Consider the following 17,443-nt stretch of genomic DNA (forward strand, 5'->3'; position numbering starts at 1 on the left):
AAAAAATCTTTGCACAGACCAATGTGCTATGATGTTTCCCCCAAGGTTTTCTTCTAGTAGTTTCATAGTTTCCGGGCTTAAATTTAAGTCTTTAATCCACTTTGAGTTGATTTTTCTATATAGTGAAAGTTGGGAATCTAGTTTCATTATTTTGCCTATAGAGATGTATTTTTCCCAGCAGGAAGAGACTGTCTTTTCTCAAATATACCTTCTTGTCAACTTTGCCAAAAAGAGTTGGCTGTAAATGTGTGGATTTACTTCTGGGTTCTCTATTCTGTTCCATTGATTTATGTGTCTGTTTTTACGTCAATACCATAAATAGTACCATATTGTTTTGGTTAGTATAGCTTTGTAGTACAGTTTGAAATCTGGTAGTGAGATGCCTCCAGCTTTGTTCTTTTTGCTTATGATTGCTTTAGCTATTCAGTGTCTTTTGTAGTTCCATATGAATTTTAGGATTTTTTTTATATCTATGGAGAACATCATTGGTATTTTGTTAGGGAATGCATTGAATCTGTAGATTGCTTTGGGCAGCATAGACATTTTTAACAATATTAATTATTTTAATCCATTAGCATGTAATATTTTTCCATTTCTTGAGATTTTTTTAAATCATAAAGTGATGTTTGAATTTTATCGAATGCTTTTTCAGCATCTATTGAAACGATCATTTTTTTGTCCTTCATTCTGTTGATGCAATGTAACACATTGATTGATTTGCATATGTTGAACCATTCTTACATTCCTGGGAAAAATCCCACTTGATTGTGGTGAATGATATTTTTAATGTGTTGTTAAATTTTATTTGCTAGTATTTTGTTGAGGATTTTTGTATCTATGCTAATCAGGGATATTGGTCTGTTGTTTTCTTTTTTGTTGTTGTGTCTTTGTCTGGTTTCCTTTGACACCTTTGGTGTCCTCGTATAATGAGTTTGGAAGTATTCTCTCTTCTACAATTTTGGGAGATAGTTCGAATAGAATTGGTATTAGTTCTTCTTCAAATGTTTGCTAAGATTCAGCAGTGAATCCATCAGGTCCTGTGCCTTTCTTTGATGGGGTCATTTTTATTACTTCTTTAATCTTGTTGCTCATTATTGGTCTGTCCAGGTTTTCTATTTCTTCATGGTTCAATCTTGGTAGGTTGTATGTATTCAGGAATTTGTCCATTTCTTCGAGGGTTTCCAATTTGTTGCTGTAAAGTTGTTCATAGTAGTCTGTAATGATCCTTTGTATTTCTGTGGTGACAGTTTTAATGTTTTTTTTTTTCACTTCTGATTTCATTTATTTGTGTTTTCTAACTGTTTCCTTTGCTGGTCTAACTATAGTTTTATCAATTTTGTTTATCTTTTCAAAAAAACAACCTTTGTTTTGTTGATCTTTTGTATATTTTTTAGCCTCTTTTATTCATTTCTTTTCTGATATTTTTTTCTTTCTTTTTTTTTTTGAGACGGAGTCTTACTTTGTTGCCTAAGCTGGAGTACGGTGGCACGTTCTCAGCTCACTGCTGCTTCCCAGGTTCAAGCGATTCTCCTACCTCAGCCTCCTGAGTAGCTGGGATTACAGGCGTGTGCCACTACGCCCAGCTAATTTTTGTATTTTTCAGTAGACACGGGATTTCACCATGTTGGCCAGGCTGGTCTTGAACTCCTGGCTTCAAGTGATCTGCCTGCCTTGGCCTCCCAAAGTGCTGGGATTACAGGCATGAGCCACTGTGGTCGACCCTACTCTGATCTTTATTATTGCTTTTCTTCTATGAATTTTGGGTTTGGTTTGTTTTTGCTTTTATAGTTCCTTGAGGTTTACCAATTGGTTGTTTATTTAAAATTTTTCCATTTTTTTGATATAAGGATTTATTGCTAAAATCTTCCCTGTTACTACTGCTTTTGTTTTATACCACAGGTTTTAGTATGTTGTGTTTCCATTTTCACTTTTTTCAAAAACTTTTTTTTTTAAGTGAAAGTAAGTTTATTAATAAGGTAAAGGTATAAAGAATGACTACTCTGTAGGCCAAGCAGCCCTGAGGGCTGCTGGCTGGCCACTTTTACAGTCATTTCTTGATTATATGCTAAACAAGGGATGGATTATTAATGAGTTTTCCGGGAAAGGGGTGGGCAATTCCTGGAATTGAGGGTTCCTCCCCTTTTTAGACCATATAGGGTAAATTCCTGATGTTGCCATGGCATTTGTAAACTGTCATGCTGCTGGTGGGAGTGTCTTTTAACATCCTAATACATTAAAATTAGCTTATAACAGGCAATGAGGATGCCCAGAGGTCACTCTCATCACCATCTTGGTTTTGATAGGTTTTGGCCACCTTCTTTACCATAACCTGTTTTATCAGCAAGGTCTTTGTGACCTGTACCTTGTGCTGACATCCTGTGTCATCCTGTGACTTAGAATGCCTTAACCTCCTGGGAACGCAGCCCAGTAGGTCTCAGCTTTATTTTACGCAGCCTCTATTCAAGACGAAGTTGCTCTGGTTCCAACGCCTCTGATGTTTCCCTCCTCCCTTTTACAAGGGAACCCTTAATCCTAAAAGTTGTAGAAAGACAAAGATCCCTCTTCTGTAACTTCTTTAGGCTGAATAGGGGTGGTGTTCCTGCCTAACTACCAGGATTTCTTGTATTCAGGGTAGAGAGCAGCTCAGTCAGAAAGCATCAGTATGTTGAGGGCCACTCATAATTCTTGAGTTCTGACAAAAGATGTTATCTGGAAGATTAATAACTGTTTAAGAAAACATTGAGGCCGGGCATGGTGGCTCACACCTGTAATCCCAAGCAATTTAGGAGGCAAAGGCCGGTGGATCACGAGGTCAAGAGATTGAGACCATCCTGGCCAACAAGGTGAAACCCCGTTTCTCCTAAAAATACAAAAATTAGCTGGGCATGGTGGCACGTGCCTGTAGTCCCAGCTACTCAGGAGGCTGAGGCAGGATAATTGCTTGAACCTGGGAGGTGGAGGTTGCAGTGAGCCGAGATCGCGCCACTGCACTCCAGCCTAGCGACAGAGTGAGACTCCATCTCAAAAAAAAAAAAAAGAAAAGAAAACATCGAGTAAGCGTTTCCTGCATTTGTACACCAAGAGTACGACAGCAATATATTCCACAACATTAAAGCAAAATAATTAAAATTATCCCAAGTAAACTAAATAAGAAGGCTTTCTGTGAACAGGGTAATTATTGGAACCAAGCTAATACAGAGTTGCTAGCCAGTTCCAATATCTGCCCAGAATTAGAATATTGATCCAGATTTTCACATTACCCATCTCTCTTGTTTCTTTTGAGCTGCAATCAGAGATCACTGGTTGATTCACAAAAATAAGCAGAGCCAGTCTAAATTACAGAAAAAAACTCAAAAACAACTGATGAGACTAGAATTTAATAACAGGCATACCATAGTTATTGAAACAATTTTTCTCTCTCCAATCTTCTATTTTTACTGAAGACAAATTATGGTAAGAACAATTCAATTCATTATACTTGGCCTGATTATTTGTATAAAGTACAGAAAGAGTAATTATTTTTCTAACAGGTTTTTGTTGTTGTTGTTGTTGTCGTTGTTGTTTGTCTCGCTCTGTCACCCAGGCTGCAGTGCAGTGGCATGATCATAGCTCAACGTAGCCTTGACCTCCCTGGCTCAAGCTATCTTCCCTCCTCAGCCTCCTGAGTACTATTATTTTTTTCTCTTCTGGTTGTATATTTTCAATAGTCCATCTTGGAGCATGCTGATTCTTTCTTCTATTTGATCAATTCTGCTGTTGATATCTATTGCATTTTTCATTTCATTTATTATACTCTTAAGCACCAATATTCGTTCAATTTTTAAAATTACTATTTCAATTTCTGTTAAATTCCTCTGACAGATTTCTTAATTGATTCTGTGTTTTCTTGAAGTTTGCTGAGGTTCCTGAAACAACTATTTTGAATTATTTGCTTGAATGATCACATATCTCCATCACTTTAGGGTCAGTCTCTGGCACCTTATTTTGTCCACTTTGTAGTGTTATATTTTCCTTGAATGTTCCTGACACTTGCTGATGTCTGACAATGTCTTTACATTGAAGGATTAGGTATTTATTTTAGTCTTCACAGTCTGGTTTTGTTTGTACCTGCCGTTCTTCAGAAAGCCTTTCAGTAATTCTAAGCTGACTAACTTTTTGTTCCTTCAGCCTGTGATCACTACAGTCATCGTGGCACTAGAGGATGGTCTAAGCCCAGGCTTGCTGTGAGTCTTGCAAAAAGGTCTAAGATTAATATGGCTTTTTGGCAAGGATAGACTTGGGGAAGATCTAAGGAGACTATTAAGGCTGTCTGGGAATGTTGGCCAGGAGTTTGAGTTCAGAAGATTGTCCCCAGTGGCCCAGGTGAATGTTCTTCATAGCAGGCATATGCACAAGTGGATGAGTCCCTGACTGTAGTGAAAGTGTCTAGAGTTGAGCCTGGGCTCCTTCAGGATCTGCTGGTGGGCCTGTCTCATTGACCTAGACAGGTGAGTGTCACTCAGCGGGTCCTTGCCCAAGTTGGGGTAGTTCCTTGACTGCAACAGGAGGGACCAGAGATGAGACAGGGCCCCCTCAGGATCTGCTGTGGAATGGAGGGTAATATGCATGTTACATTGAGTCAGATGGGCATGCATCTCCCAGCAGATCTCTGTATAGATGATGTAGTTTTCTGAATGCAACAAGAGGGACTGAAGCTTACAGTGAGTCCCGTTGGTATTTGTTGTGGGACAGATGCTGGAGAGCCTAGTCTTGACTCAGAGGAGTGTATGTCACTCAGCAAGTTCTTGAATAGATAAGATAGTTCCTTGACTTCTGCAAGAGGTGCTGGAGCTGAGACTGGACCACCTTGGGATCTGCTGTGGGAAGGAGGCTTAAAATCCTGGTCTCACTGGCTCAGACAGGTAAGTTTTTCCCAGCAGGTCTCAGCACAGATGGGATAGTTCCCCAACTACAGTGAGAGAGGCCAAAGCTGAGACTGGGTCCCCTTGGGACCTGCTGTGGGATAGAGGTTGGCATGCCCATCTGTGAGGCTTAGACTCCCAGGCTGGGGGATATGGGTGAGTCTCCCTCTGGGTCCTTGTGTGAGCATCTCTGAGCTGTAAGGTCAGCTGAGGAAGGATGGAGCAGCACCACAGGGTTACTGTCAGGTTCACTGCTGAGACCAATGTCAGTGGGCAGGTGAGAGTGTGCAAGATTCCTTCTGGACCTCTTGGCAGATAGTTTTGGTTCCAGGCTCAAGAACAAATGGAGCTTTAGCCAAACTCCTTGAGAGACTTGGCAGTGAACCCAGAAACAAGCTTGGTGGGGCAGATCAGCCACCTGGGTGTTGGTCTGCATGCTTAAAAACAACCCTAATAAGTCCTAGGCTTCAATGAGGTTTCACAAATTCCTACTTGAATCCTGAGGCTCCTGAAGAGAGAGTTTTGACTGTAAATAGGTACAGAATTCTTGTTGCTGTGGAGGCATATGAGTGGGTTACCTTCTACTCTGCCATCTTGGTGACATCATCTCAACATGTTCCAGTTTTAGAAATGTTAAAGCTGTGGAGAAATACATGTCTTTGACTAGATGAAACTTCCCATTTTTGGTTCCATTCAGACCCCTGACAACATTTAAAGCTCATTTACTGTATTTTACTTTTGCTCTTAGTTATACCGCTTAATATATTTATCTGGTTCTTAAAGCCATAGCTGATCAAAAGGAAGAACTTTAGTATTGCAAAGATTAAAATTATTTGTGTATTGCTTTACAATTTGAAAACTGCTTTCGCATGTCCAAACTAATTTAACAACCATATTTTGTTTTACAACTATATTGGGTACTATTATTATCTTCATACCCACTTTACAGATAAGGAAACTGAGATTCTAAGTGAGGTTAAGATGCTGAACATTAGTACCTGCATACATCTGAATTCAAATGTAGCCTTCGTGATGCCAAAATGTATGCCCTTTCCACTCACTTTTCTACCAATAAGGAGAGAGCGAACGCAAGAGAAGGCATTGCCGGCATTAGAGAATGATGATCAAAGCTACACAACCTCAATAATGCAAATGAACAGACAATATGTATATAAAAGAGCTGAAAAGACTACTTTATTAAAAAATAAAGCAGTCTAAAGTCATTACGTGTTGAAGTAAACAACGTTAGGCCCCCGGGTATCTATAGCAGATGTTCATGATGTTGATTTGAGCAATTGAGATGAAGTGAACTAGTACTTATTTTTCCTGCTATTTCTTTTTCAGCAAGGAAGGAGTTCAGTTTAGAAAGTTCAACATCCCAAGTGGTTAATTTAATAATTATTATTTAGAAAATAATTTTCTTTGGATTTTTTATATTCAAGATATGATAAGTTATCACACATGTTACATTGCACTCCAGTAATTGTGACTTTGACAGTCTAATAAGTCTTCATTATTATTTTTCTGATTATAAATGCTTTGTATATATATGCTTTATAGCTTATTTAAAACATTGAGAAAGGTATAAATGAACAGAAAGTAAAAATTAAATTAAAAACCAAAACCGAAAGAAAATCTAAACACCTAAATCTCACCATTGTTAAAATTTGACATATCCTTCCATAGTCTTTTTTCATGCATTCAGAAATAGAACTGATATAATATTAAAGGTATTTAGTATCATGCATTCCTCTTCAGACATAATCATAACCTACATAGTATTCCACTGTAAATAATAATAGCTGGTAGTATTTTTAATGGAATAAATTTTATAAGATAAAATAATTGTATAGATGATATTTGACATCTAGAAAGCAGGAGTAAAGACTATTTTCCTATTGTCTCTCTTAATTGAAAATAGAAAAAGTTCAATATACACTGGGAGGTGGCTGGGTGAACAGTCCCCTGGACGTTTGTTATTTCCTTGTGAAGGCATAGGCTGGAATATGTGAGTGCTGCCCAGGGATTGTGTCCTATGGCATGGTGTCATTACCTCCCTGGTGGACATTCTAATTAGGGAACATGATCCTCCTTTGGTAGAAGGATGCTATGCTTGTCATATGTTTAAAGCAAGAATAAAAGATTTCCTTTAGAACCAGCTTTGTGCCAAGCTCAGGGTTCTAATTATCCAGCACTTTGGGGGAATTTCTTCAAGAGGTGGAATTTGAACAGGCATCACTTGCCTCATCATTTTTAGATGTTTATCTTACATTTTTGAAGTTTTATTCTGTATATTTGAAATGATTTCAGTATAATTGGATTCAGTTGAGAGATTGATGTCTGTGAGTTTGATGTTTGAGGCCATGGTAGGACAATGTAATATTTTACTATTGCTTTTTTTCTGTAAAACTGACTTGAAAGCTTCTAAAATCATATTTACTGCATAATTATAAGTTACTCTGGGCTACCCATGAAGTAGAGAGCTAAGGGAAGTGTGAGCCTACTGTGAAGGATTAGAATAATGGGGAGCTTGGAGTATGCCTTTTCTGCCTCATGTCTTCTTAAAATAGTCTTTCTCAAAAGCCATTATCTCCAACTCTCTCTGCTGCTTCTTCCAGCAGAAGACTCTTCCCTATTTAAAAAAGTAATATTCCTAATAAAACCTTCATACTCCTTTGTATTTCCTCTAATGTATCTGGTAAACAGGCGTAAGCTTAGACAATGTCAGAAGCTTTTTAACATCTTTTCTATGTTTGAAGATTTCCCTCAATTTTATTGTGTCCCTACTCTCAATGCAGAATCCAGAAATTTGTCCTCCCAGCCTATTTTGGAGCAGGGAGAGAGGCATGTGACCTGGATATTCCCAGCCAGAAACATCCTTAGAAAACTTTGATTCACAAGAGAGAATGTGAGGAAGCAATCACCCTCATGGGAGCTTGATCAGGCAAGCCTGATGGCTGAAGAGTATGGCTTTGGGGGACAGAGATGTTAGAAATTTTGGCATCCAGGACGCCATGCAGCTTCAGTACATGTCTCCATTGGCAGAAACAGTGTGGTCTGCGTCAACAGTCCCTGAATCTCACTCTTGGTTGCACATCTTCCAACCCTGACTCCCAGCTCAGGTATGTTTTGAGCAAAGCAGATTTTTTTCTATAAATAAAAAAAAAAAATGCTGTAGTTTTTAATTCTAAATCCTGAGAAACACACTATGTCGCCCTATCTACTATGCTATCCCCCTTTTCCTCTCCAGTATAAGGCTCTGCCTTATTCTTGCTTATAACTTTCTTCATCTTTATCCAGCATAGTCTTGCATAATTTCCCAGGGCTTACAAATGTGTCAACACTGCAGTTTTTTTTTAGTCAAATTAAATTATCTTAAGCAGCCTGAAGCCACTCTGTAAGGATTGTTTACTTATTTTTTTGTGAACAAAAAGGTTTTCTCTTGTACTCTTTACAAATAATACTTTTTGAAAATTATGTTTTTTAAATTAGTGAGCAAAATCAGTATCTCTGTATAATGTGAGCACAGATTTTCCTGGACAGGACTGGTAGAGGGAAAGTGGAACAGAAAGATTAAGGTAAAAGGGGAAAGCCATATGATTTCATAGCCCCAAGTGAAAATGAAAGTTACAATTTAGATTGAATGCTTCCGTTTAACAGTCACATTTTGTTTGTCCTTATCTAAGTCCCTGTGGCATAATGGAAACGCACACAAAAATGTGAGATGATTGTATTCAATTCCTTCTTTCCTTAGCTCTGTGATTTTGGATAAATTATGGCTTTTGAAACTTTGCTTTGTTCATTTTCAAAATGCAATTATAACACACTGTCCCCCTGAAAAGCTTGTTATGGGGGTAAGAGGGTGAAGGTAGCATTATGACAGTGCTTTATAACTTGTAGGAAGGATTATAAGCATTGTTATTTCCAGTGCTCACTTTTTTTTTTTTTCCTGTAGAATACTATTCATCTATTGAAAAACTTCTAAGTGCTTCAGAGAATTTAGGATTAAAGTAGGGAATATACCATGCTAAATATCTGCTTACTTAATATAAACTTTCAGGCTGAGGCAGGCGGATCACGAGGTCAGGAGATGGAGACGATCCTAGCTAACACGGTGAAACCCCGTCTCTACTAAAAATACAAAACATTAGCCGGGCGTGGTGGCGGGTGCCTGTAGTCCCAGCTACTCGGGAGGCTGAGGCAGGAGAATGGCGTGAACCTGATAGGCGGAGCTTGCAGTGAGCCGAGATCACGCCACTGCACTCCAGCCTGGGCGACAGAGTGAGACTCCATCTCAAAATAAATAACTTTCAATTTTCATGAATATTATATTGGATAGAATAAAAAATACACTATATAATTGGGAGAGCATTATAGCTGAGAAAATATACCAACATCTCATAGTTAATAATAACTCAAATCTAACCTAAATAGCCACCAAAGAGTAACTAGATTCAGGGGCTTAACCACGGTCTTTGACAGCCTTTCTCCTGGACTTTGATTTCCGTTGATTTTCATTTGGTCTTTTTGGGTGTGGGAGCAGAGTTGACTACTGGAAGCTCTAGACTTGTACTCATTCAGTTTAGTAAACCCCACAGAAAGTGAGGCTTTTCCTGATAGTGCCAGCAAAGTTCCATGCATTTTCATTGTCCCAGCCTGAGTTGTGTGCCGATCTCTGATCCAAACACTTTGATTAGGGGGGTAGAATATTCTCTTTGGTCACATCTGAATCACATGCCCAATACAATAGCTGGTGGAGTCAGCAAGTAATTTTTGAAACTTGGTGAGGGAGAATGGGTGGGAGGGGAGATTCACAAAGAGAGACTAGGCATAAAAAATTATGCCCATTTAATACATTTTGGGAAGGATCTATGGCCAATATATTAAGGAACATATGTAGAAAGTGCTTTAACTTGCCTGAATGAAGTCTTGTTCTCTATAGTTATCTCTGATTTAGTAATCAGTAACTTCGACACCATCCCCATTATCTCTGGAGCAATAGGCTATTTTTGCAAAGTGACTGACAATATAAATCAGATTATAGTGCTCGTGGTACCATCACGGTGGACAGATGCACAGAGAGTATTTCTAAAGAAATACTCATAGAAGAGAGAAAAACATTAAAGTGGTTGCAAGAAGAAAGCATTGCAGAATGTGAACATTTGTGGTCTACTTTTGTGAATTTTTAATAAAGGGTTTCTGGCATGTAGAACTGCTGTGTCTTCATTAGAATAATGTGGAGGCTGCTACCAAGTAGGACACATATTCCAGGCGAACCAGGGTACGACTGGGAAGAAAGGACTCTGAGTATATTAGTTTTAAGCATGATGCTCCCTTCCCATAATACACAGTAAAAGCCAAATACAGGATTTCCTAACGTGAAAAGCAGATATGCAGAAGTGGGAAGAGACCTGATTTTGAATTGGAACATGTGAATCTTTATCCCAATTCTGCCAAGAACTTGCCATGTATCCTGAGGTAAATCCTCTTTCCTAGCTTGACCTTTGTTTCTCAATTCAAAGATTCGCTTCAAAGATTTGAACTTGGCCAGGCGTGGTGGCTCATGCCTGTAATCCCAGGACTTTGGGAGGCTGAGATGGGTGGACCACCTGAGGTCAGGAGTTTGAGACCAGCCTGATCAACATGGTTAAACCCCATCTCTACTAAAAATACAAAAAATTATCCAGGTGTGGTGGCAGGTGCCTGTAATCCCAGCTACTTGGGAGGCCGAGGCAGGAGAATCGCTTGAATCTGGGAGGCGAAGTTTGCAGTGAGCTGAGATCGTGCCACTGCGCTCTAGCCTGGGCAACAGAGTGAGACTTGGTCGCCCACCAAAAAAGGTTTGAACTTGATGACACCAAGAGCTGCTTCCTGCCCAATGACTTTATCTTAGTAAAAATTCTATGTTTTGATTCTTTTTGAAATATGAATTATTTAATGCAAGTAATACATTTGTGTGGTTCAAAATGTATAACTATCAAACGAGCACTGTGAACACCTCCCTTCCATTCCCATCTGTGTCTACCATGTTCTGTACTAATTTCTACTTTTACTGATTTTTAAAATATCTTTCCAGAGTTTCCTTATGAAAATTCAAACAAATATAATTTATATCCCACCTCCCATTTCTCTCACAGGAGTTACATGTGCCTTGTTTTCTTTTGTTTTTTTCTTGAGATGGAGTTTTGCTCTTGTTGCCCAGGCTGGAGTGCAATGGTGTGATCCTGGCTCACCGCAACCTCCATCTCCCAGGTTCAAGCGATACTCCTGCCTCAGCCTCCCGATTAGCTGGGATTACAGGCATGCACCACCACGCCCAGCTAATTTTGTATTTTTAGTAGAGATGGGGTTTCTCCACGTTGGTCAGGCTGGTCTCGAACTCCCAACCTCAGGTGATCTGCCTGCCTCGGCCTCCCAAAGTGCTGGGATTATAGGTGTAAGCCACCGCACCCAGCCAGCATGTGCCTTTTTTTAAACTGAATATATCATGGACATTTTTATGTATCACTATGTAAGCCACTCCTCATCCTGTATTTAGCCTCTTGCTAAATACAACAGATACAACAGATCCTCAAATAACATTTTTTTCAACATCATTTTGTGTAACATTGATGAGGAAAAAAAAATTCCAAACAGGGGCCACTGTCTATATGGACTTTGCATGTTAGCATGTTCTACCCATGTCTGCATGGATTTTCTCTGTACTCTACTTTCCTCCCACATCCCAAAGATGTTAGGTTAATTGGTGTGTCTAAATGCTCGCAGTCTGCGTGAGTGTACCCTGTGATAGGATGGCGTCCTGTTCAAGATTGGTTTCCACCTGGCACCCTGAGCTGCCGCATAACCTCAGGCCACTCACAACCCTGAATTGGAATAAGTGGATAAAAAATCATCTTACTCATTTTTATTAATCTGTTTAAAATGCATGTAGGGCTCACATTTATTTCTATGTTTAATATTAGAAGTGTTTTGGTTTTTATTTAGAACTTCGGTGATGTTTTTGTGACCAGCATGCCATAGGAATTTAACTCTTGCTTGTATGAGTTAGCCTATGATAAAATTGTTTTTGTTATACATCATTTCATTCAAAGTTGCAGTTTCCAAGAATCTATTGAGGACATTAAGTGAGTATTTTGTTCTTACAAATAATGCTATGCAAGCAGACACACCTGTAAGACAAATACTAGAGGTGGAAAAGCCAGGTCAAAGAGCAAATGCTCTTGTCGTTTATATTTTTCAGGACTGCCTTCTCTAGGGTTCATATAAATTTATACTCAATCTGAAACATGCACTCCAAAAAATACAAGCAAATTGAATACAGTGACCTATAAAAAGAATTATACACAATGACCAAGTGGGATTTATCCCAGGACGGCAAGGTTGGTTTGAACATATGAAAATCAATTAATATAATTCATCATATCAGTAGAATAAAAACAAAAATTACATGATTATCTCAATAAACACAGAAAAAGCACTGGACAAAACCCAACTTCCTTTCATGATAAAAATACTCCCAACTGGAAAATAGAAGGGAGCTTCCTCAATCTGATAAAAGTTATCTATGAAAACTCATAGCCAAAATTATATTTAATGGAAAAATGATTTTTGTCCTAAAATCAGGACCATCTCAATGCTATCTGCTCTTAGCATGACCATACAACATTACATTAGTGGTGCTAGCCCTAGCAACTAGACAAGATAAGAAAGGCAACTGGATTGGAATGGAAGTGAAAGTGTCTGTATTAGCAGATAACATAATCTTGTATATAGGAAATCCTAAAAAATTCACTCGAAACCTGTTAGAACTATTAAATGAGTTCATCCAGGTTTCAGGATACAAGATCATACATAAAAATCAGTTTTTCTTCTACACACTTGTAATGAACAGTCCAAAACTGAAATTAAAACAATTCCTTTTAGAATCATATCAAAAAGAATAAAATACCTAGAAATAAATTTTAACAAAGAAGTAAAACTTATGCTCTGAAAATTACAAGACATTATTGAGAGAAATTAAAGAGCTAAATAAGTGGAAAGCATCTCGTGTTTATAGATTGGAAGGCTTAATTTACATTGTTAAGATGGCACTACTCCCCAAACTGATCTACAGATTCAATACAATCCCTGTCAGAACCTCAGCTTACTTTATGTAGAAATGGGCAAACTAGTTAGAAAATTCAAGTAGTATCGCATAGACCCAGTACAGCCAAGATGATATTGAAAAATAAGAGCAAACAAAGACAATTCACCTTTCCTTATTTCATGACTTAGTAATTTATTTAGTATTTCCTCATTTCATGACTTAGCATCTTAATGGTAATTAAGATAATGTGGTACTGGCATAAGGATAGGCACATTGCTCAATAAAACAGAACTGAGAGTCCAAAAATAAGCCCGTACATCTGTGGTCAACTGACTTTCAACAAGGGTTTCAAGACCGTACAATGGGGAAAGAATAGACTTTTCAACAAATGATGCTTAGGCAAGTAGATTTCTACATGCAGAAGAATAAAGTTGGACCTCTATTTCATGCCACATACAAAAATTAACTCAAAATATATCAAATACCCAAATGTAAGAGTTAAAGCTGTAATATTCTTATAGTAAATGATAGGGGTACATCTTTATGACCTGAGACTTGGCAAAAGATTCTTAGACATGACATCAAAAGCATAAAAAATAAGAAAAAAATAGATAAATTTGATTTCATCAAAATGAAAAACATTTGTACCTTAAAGGACACCATCATTAAACTGATAAGACAACTCACAGAATGGGAGCAAAAATTTGCGTATCGCGTATCTAATGAAGGACCTGTCCCTAGACTATATAAAGAACTCTTACAACTCAGCAATAAAAAGACAATAACGCAATTTTATAATGAGCAAAAATCTGAACTGATATTTCTTCTAAAAAGATATAAAAATATATACTTATTAGTATATGAAAAAATGTGAGAACCAGAGCATAGGGCCAGGCGTTGGGAGAGCTCCCACATAGGACAAGATGGCATCTTCTGCAGAGCTGGACTTCAACCTGCAGGCTCTTCTGGAGCAGCTCAGCCAGGATGAGTTGAGCAAGTTCAAGTCTCTGATCAGAACAATCTCCCTGGGAAAGGAGCTACAGACCGTCCCCCAGACAGAGGTAGACAAGGCTAATGGGAAGCAACTGGTAGAAATCTTCACCAGCCACTCCTGCAGCTACTGGGCAGGGATGGCAGCCATCCAGGTCTTTGAAAAGATGAATCAAACGCATCTGTCTGGGAGAGCTGATGAACACTGTGTGATGCCCCCACCTTAACCCCTCAGGGATAGTGAGTTGATGGCTGAGCTAGATGTTGCTTTAGCCTTGGTTCTGCCTCCATTTTACATGCACATGTTGCTTAACCTTGTTATATATGAAATATCTATATCACCAGTATTTTGAGATAAATAAAGGTGAAATAATTCACAAACATTAAAAGAAAAGATGCCTGACAACTTTAGTATTCAGGGAAATGCAAATCAAAACTATGATGAGATACCACTTCATATCCACTAGGCTGGCTAGAATAGAAAGATAATAACAAGTATTGGCACAGATGTGGAGAAACTAGAATCCTCATATACTGCTTATGGAAATGTGAAATTGTGCAGCCACTTTGGAAAACAGGATGGCAATTTCTCAAATGATAAACAGAGTTCTCATATGATCTAATATTATATTTATAAGTACATGATCAAGAGAAATAAAAACATAAACACAAATGTTTATAGTGTCATTGTATACAATAGCCAAAAGGTGGAAACAACCTAATGTCTGTGAATGGACAAATGAATAAACAAATTGTGGCATATGCAGCTAATGAAATATTATTCGACAAAAATGAAGTATTGATCACATGCTTAAACATGAATGAACATTGAAAACACTATGCTAAATGAAAGAAGCCTGTCATAAAAGACAAAATATTATATGGTCACATCACATATGATATGATTCCATTCATAGGAAAGTTCAGAATGGCCAAATTTATAGAGTCAGAAGTAGATAACAGGTTGCTTAGGACTGGGAAGGAGAGTTGGTGAGTAGAGGGGAATAGGGAGTAATAGCTAAAACATTTAAGATTGCTTTTCGAGGTGATGAGAATATTCTGAAATCAACTATGGTGATGATGGTACATATCTGTGAATAAGCTAAAAACATTTAATTGTATTCTTTAAATGAGTTGTGTGATATGTGAATTATATCTCAATAAATGTTAAAAATGCAAAAAATGAGACAATGAATGTTTACCATCTTTTCATATGTTTAAAGACCGTTAATATTTCCATTCAATGAACTATTTATTCATACTCTTGACAATTTTCCTTTTTTATTCCATTTTTGTTTTGTTTTGTCTTTTTCTCATTGATTCCAGGAACTCCTTTTATGTCTGAGAGATTAGTACTATCTGGATATGAGTTGCAATTTCTTTTCTTTTTGACTTTGCTTATGATTTTCCCCACAGCAGAAGACTACAATTTTATGTATATGCATTAATCTATCACTACTTTTATGGCTTCCAGATGAGACTCATAGAAAGATCTTTCCTAGTCCAAGGGAATAAAATAATTCTCCTATCTTTACTCCTGATTCATTCATGGTTACATTTTAATATTTGCCTTTAAATCTGTAATCTATTTAGCCACTTTTTCCCAACAAAGGTATGAAGTATGTATCCAGCATTCTTCTTTTCAGGCAGCCAGCCAAGGATACCAGAACCTTTATTGCAATCTCATCTTTTCCCTACAGATTTGAAATGTACAAAGTAAACTTCCTAATATATCTGGCTTTCTCCCCTCCCTCCCTCCCTCTTTTTTCTTTTTCTTTCTTTCTCTCTTTCTCTTTCTTTCTTTCTTTCTTTCTTTCTTTCTTTCTTTCTTTCTTTCTTCTTTCTTTCTTTTTCTCTCTCTCTCCCTCCCTCCCTCCCTCTCTCTCTCTCTCTCTCCCTCCCTCTCTCTCTGTCTCTCTCTCTTCCTTTCTCTCTCTCTTTCTTCTTTCTTTCTTTTAGACGGAGTCTTGCTCTGTTGCCCAGGCTGGAGTGCAGTGCATGATGCTGGTTCACTGCAAACTCCACCACCCAGTTTCAAGTGATTCTCCTGCCTCAGCCTTCCAAGTAGCTGGGATTACAGGCGTGCACAACCACACCTGGCTAATTATTTCTTGACTTTCTACGTGTATCATTGGTCTGTCTCTTCATGCACCAATATCAAGATGCTTTAAATATAGAAGCTATATGCAGATGTTTCCTGACTTAAATATGTTTCAACGTATGATTTCTTTTATTTTCCAGTGGGCTTATTGAGGTATTAAACACATTTTATACTAATGATATTTTGACTTTTGATGGATTTATCAGGACATAACCCTATTGTAAGTTGAGGAGCATCTGTAATATGTTTTAATATCTGTCAGCAAAGAGGCTCTTTACTTTATTGCTTTTCTTTTTAAGAGATTTTTCTGCCTAGCCTTGCTGGTTTAGTTTTATTTATGAACTTCAAAATTAGTTTTCTAGTTTCATTGCACAAACAAAAATATACAAACAACAAAATAAGAAACCATCATCACAAAAATTCAAAAACAAAGGCATGTTAGTTATTTTTTTAATATTGCCTTACATTATTAAAAACTTGATGGAAATTTACATCCTTCTAGTGTTGATTTTTTTCTATTCAATAAGAAGGGACGTCTTTTAATTTGTTCACTTCTTCTTTTGAGACATTCAGCAGTGTTCTAAAACTTCTCTTATATAAAATGTAAACACTTAAGTTTTTCCAAAAAATTTTTATCTTTATTTTGCTGCTGTCTTAAAGGTATTTTCCCTCACTTTATCCTCTAGCTTATTTTCTGTATATATGCATTATTTTGATTTTTTTTTTTTTTTGAGATGAAGTCTCACTCTGTTGCCCAGGCTGGAGTGCAGTAGCGTGATCACAGCTTACTGCAACCTTCACCTCCCAGATTCAAGTGATTCTCCTGCCTCAGCCTCCCGAGTAGCTGGGACTACGGGCATATGCCACCATGCCTGGCTAATTTTTGTATTTTTAGAAGAGATAGGGTTTCACTATATTGGCCAGATTTGTCTCGAACTCCTGACTTCATGTGATCTACCAGCTTTGGCTTCCCAAAGTGCTGAGATTACAGGTGCAAGCCACCTTGCCCGGCCTGATTTTTGATTTATAATTTGATACCTTGCTATATTACTAAATTCTCTGACTTTAGTTGCTTAAATGTTCAAGGAATATGATTATCCCATTTACAAATTTCATCAATGTCTTCATTTTCAATTTTTAGACTTACTTATAATTCCTTTTTCTTCTTAGTGTTGGTTAGTGTAATATTAAGTAAAAATGACTCTAGCAAGTATTTGCTTTGTCCTGAGTTTAGTGCAAATTCTTAATGTGTCACTTTAAAGCATTATGCTTTGTGCTGAAATATATGTCTCATGATTACGGTTGTACATTTACTTATATTATTATCCATCAGTTCATCTTTTATTTAGTATTTTTTATGAACAG

At 37.6% G+C, this 17,443-nt stretch overlaps 1 protein-coding gene and 1 long non-coding RNA gene across 2 annotated transcripts in view; both read left to right on the forward strand.

The window, feature by feature from the left end:
• The window catches only part of PYDC2-AS1 (PYDC2 antisense RNA 1), a 164,833-nt gene that overhangs the window by 21,729 nt on the left and 125,661 nt on the right, over positions 1-17,443 (forward strand). The window lies entirely within an intron of this gene.
• On the forward strand, positions 13,911-14,204 carry PYDC2 (pyrin domain containing 2). The gene has a single exon (NM_001083308.1). The coding sequence runs from the start codon at positions 13,911-13,913 to the stop codon at positions 14,202-14,204; it is 294 nt and encodes a 97-aa protein (NP_001076777.1).

The sequence above is a fragment of the Homo sapiens genome, chromosome 3 (genome assembly GCF_000001405.40).
Source record: "Homo sapiens chromosome 3, GRCh38.p14 Primary Assembly".
In the NCBI taxonomy this organism is placed as follows: domain Eukaryota; kingdom Metazoa; phylum Chordata; class Mammalia; order Primates; family Hominidae; genus Homo; species Homo sapiens.